This window comes from Homo sapiens, chromosome 8 (assembly GCF_000001405.40).
Source record: "Homo sapiens chromosome 8, GRCh38.p14 Primary Assembly".
NCBI classification, from domain to species: domain Eukaryota; kingdom Metazoa; phylum Chordata; class Mammalia; order Primates; family Hominidae; genus Homo; species Homo sapiens.
In genome coordinates this window covers 136,006,311-136,014,720 of record NC_000008.11, presented here as the reverse complement: position 1 = coordinate 136,014,720, position 8,410 = coordinate 136,006,311, and positions in this window count along the sequence as shown.

Sequence of the window (8,410 nt, the reverse complement as noted above, 5' to 3'; positions counted from 1 at the left end):
GCCAGGGCTAGTACAGCAGCTGGATGGACCAGACTGGATGAAGCTGGGAGACAAAAGTCCTAGCAGTTACCCAAGGCTGGGGACAAATGAGGACTGGAGCAAAAGGAGCTGTCCGATGTGGGTGACTCCAGATGCATACATAAGAATGTGAGTCCAGAGGCAGAGGCTAAATTAGGAGCTGTCATTCATTTTTTCTGTCATCCCATTGCCCAAAAAGTTGTGTGGCCAAGCTCAGTGGTAGTGTGGTAGAAACTATCCAAGGGCATGGACCCAAAGAGGTGTGAACAAGTCAGGGGTCATTGGCATAGCAATCTCCCGGTATGGATGAAGACACTGAGGGGATCCAAGCAAGAGAATCAAGAGGTGCAACAATGAGAGGATAAACAAGAGACTGGGTTTCCTCATAGCACCAGTTAGGTAATTAAAGCTGGTCTGGAAAGAGAAAGTGTCTGAATATAGCTATGACATAGTTCTGAGCATGTTTAGAGGAACTATTTAAATGATCCCCAATGTCTTGAAATGCCTGGAGACGGCTAGGTGATGCCAGGGAGGCCAATGATGCACCCAGCTCTCCACTGACACTTCCCCAAACTGCAAAACACCAGGGAAGCAAGTGATCTGATCTCTGGGAAAGTCTCTACAAAATGACAGAGAAGGCATACCGTCCATTGTAATCATCAAAGAACTACGAATTCAACCTATCCTCAGTCGTTGAGAATGGATTACTGGGCCCCTACTAAGCACTGTGAACGGCCTCCATCTACTATCCTGTAGAACTTTATTTTTATAACACTCTTATTTTAACATAACTCATCATTCTTTCCCAATATTAATGATAAATTCCCTTCTCTCCTCTGAGAATCACTTCCAGATTGGGAAACAAAATATGGTAAGAACTCTTCTTTTCAAGTTCGTCTAAGTGGGATTCATTCACATTTCCGTGTAAACACCACAACATTATCTCCAATTCAAATGTCTCTGCATTCATTTAGTTTTTACAGAAAAAGTCAGCCCTAGAAATTCTTAGCGCAGGCACAATTCAGAAGTGTATCACTAGAAAAATGAGACAGGCTGGAATTAGCTAAAACCTTAGCAATAACAACCTCAAACTCTGATTGATAATGGTGATATTTAGGGAAGGAAAACATGTATTTCTACTTAGATATGATGACTGTCTAAATCTTACTCTTCACTGATTCATTCTTTAACACACTAATAGTTACAGTTTATTAACAACTTACACGGCAATTAAAACACTTATGTTTTATAAAGAAATCAATGATTGCCTGCATTTTGGTTTATTCCAACAGATTCAGTTAAGCATGCATACAAGTCATTTAATTACAAGGCCTAAGATGCAAAACCTAAATCAGAGAAGGAAGCCAATAAGGTGTGAAGGGAAGCACAAAATCTTCAGGACTCTGTTGGGAAAATCTCATTGTTTATAACTGCATAATCTGTCAGAAATGTGATCATTACTTTGATCTAGAAATTTATTTGAATGGAACTATTTTATAGTTTCTATTTTTTTTTTCAATTTACAAAGTGAGGTCAGTTTCTCATCTCCAGAATGCCCTCATCTAGAATAGGTTGTACAACATTTCTAAGTCTTTACCCTTATTCCGCTCATGACATTTAATCATAGTATTTTGTAACTAACTGGGTTTACTTTGCTCATTTCTATTTTGCCACACTACACACACACCAAATCCTGAGCTCCTTGAAGTTAGTAATTATTTGTTTTGTTTTTTTTTTTCATATTTAAAGTCCTTATCAGAGATCTGTCACACAGTTGATTACTAAATGTTCTCAGAAAGAAAATTAAAGAACATGTCCAGGGGATACGATCTGTGCATGTGTGTGTGTGACTGTGTGTGTGCACTCTCCAGGGTTATGGGGTAAAGTATCTAAGGCTGACTATAGGAATGACTAAGTAAAAGGTAAAAAAAAAAAAAAAAAAAAAGCACATAATCTAGGCACATAAATAAGGCATTTTCTTTTCAAAACAGATTTTTATTTAAAATAACAAATGGTACAGCTAACTACCTCCTCTGAGAAGTGCCTGAACCCCAAGAACACATCTGTAGCACCTGCTGAGCTCACCTGCTGATACAATCCCAGCACTTCTCAATTATGTCTCACTGAACACCAGAGCAGGGACATTCTGGAAAGAGGTGCCGGGGATGGGGATGGTAAATGAGGAATGGTCTCGTCAATTTAGGAAGACTCTGAGAAGTCCTGCAATATCGTAAGTGTTTAACGTTATTGAAATAAGAATTTAATCACACTTATGAGTATGTAGAGACACCATTGCATATGAAACCTATTGGTTTCCCCCACAAAATGTCTGCATGTTTGGAGAAGCATTGCATTCAGCCTTGCTTATCAGTCATTGCCTTTTTAAATCTTCTTTCTTCTCTCTGGAAAGCTTTGTTTTACCTCATCAGTGTTTTCAGAAATTGAAAATCACATTTAAGTCATGACTTTTCAAAGAGGCTTGTACTGTTGGGATTGGAAGCCCTCTGGTACCCACCTTTATCAGAGGGAGGTGTCAACGTGTCTCTCCACATTACATCCGAGGTAAAATCTGCGTCCAAAAGCCACTTCTTCTTTTGGCAGACAGCACAGCTCAAACACAGCTAATAACTCTGAAAATTGCTCCCTTGTTCCTATTGACCAGTGGGGTGCTGGAGACAAAGCAAACCTACGAACACAGCACCAGCATCTGTCAATCAAAGTGACATTTTATTTAGTTAACCTGGGAACTTCCCACTAGCACTGGTTGTTAGTTTGGGGCAGGGGGAGGAGGGTGACGCTAATGGTACACTGTAATAAATACACCTTTAGCATAGGCTAAAACTGTTTATTTTTTCTGAAGACTCAAGCTGTAGCTTTGGGCTTTCAAATGTAATCTTTCAAAAGCCAGGATTATTTGTCTATGAAAAGCTTCAGATGTAGCTCATCTGAAGAGGCCAAGGTTAAACACACTAAGAGAAATAGTTTATTTATCAAACAGAATTAAACAGATGTGGTCTTTACTCTGGGGACTCTGTTATTTGATATTATATCACACTGGACATGCCCCAGTATTCTCAACTACAAAATTGAATTAATAAAAGATATCTCATGGTTTTGCTGAAAGGATGTGGTGGCATGAAGAACGTACAGCTCCTGACATTGCATACAGCTCAACACGTGTTAGATCTATTCCCCTTGTTCCCTGACACTTACCCAAAAGAAATAGAGGTGGATTATATTAAATGATAGATTGAGAGATTGGTTGATGGGTATTGAACACAATGGCAATTCAATGAAAAGGAAAATAGCATGCTGCCCATCAGGGATTATATATGTGCTATAACCAAGCACCCAATTAAGATAGCCATTAGGACAGTATTTGAGGTAGATAAATAGGCTCTGGTATTGTCCTTAAGGTTATAACATCTAGGAGTCAACTTGAACTTCACATTAGCCTGATCCTGAATCCTTTTCAACATCACCACCATCATGATGAACATCATCTCCTATATCATCACTGCCCAGATCTAAAGGATTTTAACCCACTGCAAAATTATTGTCCCATTTGATCCTCACAATATCCCTCAGGGTCTGATGGGGCATGCATTCTCTTTCACCTACAGAATAAAAATATGAAGCTCAGAGAGCTTAGTGGACTTATCAAAGTCACAGAGCAAATGAGGGAAGAACTCAGATTCCATCGCTGGTCTTAAGATCTCCATTTATCTCATTTCCTCGGTTCTGTGCCATCCTCCAGTCCATAACAACCCTGCTTGTCAGTGAATCCCCACTCTAAGCATTCCCCCGGGAATGAGTAACAGTGATTCTTTCTTGTGACATAGTTCCCAGTTTCCTCCAAGATCTCTGCTTTTTTTCTTAAAAAGCTTTCTGAAAGAACTCTTTAAATTGCTGAGTAAATTGGCTTCTTAACTTGCCATTCATTACTCACAAAGACTCTGGCCTATTACAGAGAATCAACACAAGGCGGAGTTTCTCTGTTAATTTATTTTATTCCTTCATTCTGTATTCTGGTTGATGTGCCCTCTTGGCATTATAAATCCAGAGCATGTAATTAACAACCACACTTTGAACCCAATTCTCTTTCTTTTTTCTTTCCTAACTACCTCTGCCTCCTTTGATCTCGCTCATTTTCTTAATTAACTTATGTGCATGCCAGACCTGTTTCTTTGTGTCTTTGCAAATTTGGGAAGTTTGGAAGTGTGGGTGAGCAGAGCCAGGCTGACTTTACAGTGAAGGGGTAAAAGAGGTCAGCGCCCCACCACACACAACTGCATAAGCCCTACGAAAGTGCAATTTACAACACTCACCACAGCAAAGAAAGCACCGTTGACTAAGCAAACATCAGGTTTCAGGACTTTCCTACCCTTTACCTCTTATCCTCACCACTCCCCAAGGAGAAAGGTGTTGGTACCGTCCTTATTTTGGAGATGAGACAATTAGGCTCAGAGAGGGTAGGTGGTCTGCTACAAAACAACAAGGATGTGTGATTTTAACAAATAACAAAAACCTTTCTCATGATTCTGACAATTGAAGCTGTGAAGTTTGTAGGAACTGGGAGAGAGAAGGAGAAGGATGCAACTGGAGATTACCAATCAAGGAGACCGACTTTCCTATAGAGATGTTCTCTAAGTTGGATGGACAGTAGTCCAGGATACAGTGAGCACCAAAGTGTATGGGGCTCAGGCTTAACAATGGCCCTGAGAATGAGAAAGGGGAATCAGATTAAGTGGGCAGAAGAGAGAAACAGATGGAAAGGCTGGGCTCCTTCCCGAGCCCATGAATTCTGGCTGACCAATGTCTCGGTAGCTGACCTGCAGGGGTAGGTGGTGCAGGGATCAAAAGCTGGGACCAGAAAGACAAGACCAGCAGGCAAAACGCAGATTTTTCAAGACTTCAGACAACTAACTGAATTCACAGTGAAAATTTCAAATGCAGTAGAGGACCAGAGAAACTCAAGCAACCAAGTCAGGAGCCAGGCCACATGGCCGGGCTTAGGAAAGGTATTCAGATGCCCTCAGGGCAAGTTGGCCACCAGGCCCACAGAAGGATGTGTGGTAAACTCTCCATGCCCCCAGCCAGTAGGACGGCACTGCCAGACAGTGGCTAAGACCACAGCCCCGGGGTCAGACAGTTCTGCGTCTAATCTTAACTCTGCTGCTAATTTCCTGTAGCGCATCCTTGAGAAGTTATTTAACATGCCTCAGTCGTGGTTTTCTTATTTGTAAAATTAGAATGATAGAAACAAACTTGCGATAGGAAATGAGCTATGGCAAAGTAAGTTAATTTGTTCGGAACGGTACCTACCATATGATCAGTGTCTCACAGGCAATGTGAAGGTCTTTCCTGTTTTAATCAGAATTTACTTTAAGACCAGATGGATTTGAACTTGTACTTGGTAGGGTCCCATTTACTTACTCATTTAACCAATAATTAAATGCCAGACACTAAGTTAAGGCTGGGGCTTGGTGCCATCTATCAATTTCTGTCTTCCTCCCCCTTACTGCTGCCTTAAGAACTCAAAGATGATCGATCATACCAGGAACTTAGGAAATAACATGTTACTCAATGCATTAATCAATTTACTTTTCTGGAATAATTCAACTTATTAAAATTATTTATATAGTAAACTTTCTCAGCCAGGCATGGTGGCTCATGCCTGTAATCTCAGCACTTTGGGAGGCTGAAGCAGGAGGACCGCTTGAGCCCAGGAATTTAAGACCAGCCTGGGTAACATAGGGAGACTCTGTCTTTAGAAATAATTAAAAAGTTAGCCAGGCATAGTGATGTGCACCCACAGTCCCAGCTACTTAGAAGACTGAAGCAGAAGGATCACTTGAGCCCAGGAGCTACAGGCTGCAGTGAGCTGTGATAATGCCAATGCACTCCAGCCTAGATGACAGAGTGAAACCCAGTGTCAACAAGAACAAAAAAAGAAAATGTGGCTATGGAAAAGAGTATAGAGGTATCTCAAAACATTAAAAATAGAACTACCATATGATCCGGAAAATTTCACTTCTGGGTCCAAAAGTATTGAAATGAGCTACATCTGCACAGAGATATCTGCACTCCCAAACTCCTTGCAGCACGACTCACAATAACCTAAATATGGAAACAACTTATGTGTCCATCAACAGATGAAGGTAAAAAAGAATTGTGAGATACACACACACACACACACACACACACACACACACACTCTGGAATATTATTCAGCCTTAAAAAAGAGGAGATACTGCCATTTTTGACAACATGGATGAACTGAGAAGACATTAAGCTCAGTGGAATAAGCCAGACACAGAAAGAAAAGCACTATAAGATCTCACTTATACACCAAATCGAAAAAAAAAAGTCAAATAAATAGGAACAGAGAGTAGAACAGTGGTCACCATTCACAGGGAGAAGGCGGAATGGGGAAAAGTTGGCCAAAGTGTACACATGTGCAATTCGGTTGGATGAATAGCCTTAGAGAGCCAATGTACAGCCAGAGAACTATAATTAACAATATTGTATACTGAAAATTTGCTAAGAGAGCAGTTTTTAAGTTCTCTTAGCACAAAAGTTAAAAAGGTAGCAATGGAAGACGAGGAATATGTTTAATTGTTTCACTGTGTAGATATATATCAAAACATTATGTAGTAGACATTAAACACATGTAATACAAAATATTTTTTTTAAAATAAAGGCCTATAGCTGGTTAACCAGGCCACAGGACTGGTTAATGTTAGAATCAGGGCCTCCACCTCTTTCCTCTCTCTTGCACCAGTTTTCTGTGGGTAATGTTTAAAAAATAATTGTTGGAAAAAAGAAAGGTAAGAGGATGACAGAGCTGGAATAAAGGAAAACGCTAAGGAGCCACCTTCTTAGCCCCTTTGCAATGAAGTTGCTGGAGCATGAGATGAAGCTGATGGAGCCAGGGCTCCTTTTCTTTGTCAACAAATTTTCTGAGCCAGAATATCCTGGTGCTTCAGAGAGGGATTTAAAGTTACCCCCAGATGACCCTTAATATGCCTTATCTGGGTGTGCTGAGTTAGATACACAGCTAAGTTTAACTATGGTCTTTTCCTCTCCCATTAGCCCAAGTTATTCTCTGCTTCCAGAACCATAAGGATACAGAAGGTGGGCAACAACCCACCTGCTTCTACATGGTGCTGAGAGTTGCAACGCCTGGTGTATGTGGCCAACAGTTTTCCACTGCAGCATATGGAAAATATAGCAGTCAGCACAGGCTGAGTGCTAAGCCACAGACTTCATTTGTTGGGTGTTATCTAATATGTGGGCAAACCTCAAATGATCAGAAGGCTTAAGCAGGAGATGGTATTGAACTAGAGTGATTATTGATTATGCCTCTAATAGCACTGTGGCACATCAATTGTGAGTCCAATGAGAAGTAATTATACGCATTAAACTACTGTGTCCAATTGAAAGGGTTGAAAATTGCAAAAGATTCTAGGAATTCTTACATAATAATGGAATATACCAAAAGAGAGGGAAGTTACTAAGTTTCACTGAGAGATATATTAATCTCTGCAAAACTGCTGGTTGGAAGAACCACCAGAGTTTATCACAGAAGTCAGCATCCAAAACTCTTCAGGATAATGGCAAGTGGCCAAGTTCAATAGACTGACAGATGCCAGCCATAATGATCATCATCATAATCTCAATGACAGCTATTATTTTATTAGTTGCTTTCTATGTACTAGGCATTGAATTTTACAAATAGCATCTAATTTCATTCTCTTGACAAGGGGTTGGTAAACTATGGCCCTAGGGCTACATCCAGCCTGCCTCTGTTTTGGTAAACAAACTTTTATTGGAACACAGCCAAAGCCTTTTATTTATATAATATCTATAGCAGCTTTCACCATTCATTCAGAGTTTGAGTTTTGTCCCAACTCATTGGATTTAGGAAACTGAGTTGAGAGAATTATTCTACCTGGTGTCCCTCCTGCCATTTTCCCAAATTTACCATCCCCACTCAGATCTCACTTGTGTGTCCTCCAAGTAGGAATTCTCAGTATGCTCTATGACAAGTACTTTAATAACTATGTTTCTGTTTGAGAAAAAAATACTTCATTGAACTTAACTCATTTTCCTGGAAATAATTTTTAAATGTATCAGCCATGGAAAGGTAAGCATTATTTATAAGCACACACACAAAAAAACACTGGACGGTACTCAATTACCCAACTAGAAGGGGATGATAGACTGAAATAAGATGTCTATTTGATGGAATAGTGAGCATCTAATCAAAAACATCATTGTTTATAATGTAATGTTAACTGAAAACGGCAGATCATAAAATGGTACCTTTGTAGTTAAATTCAGTCATCAGCAAAGATTCAAGAAAGGTGTAAGCACTCAGCTAGAAACT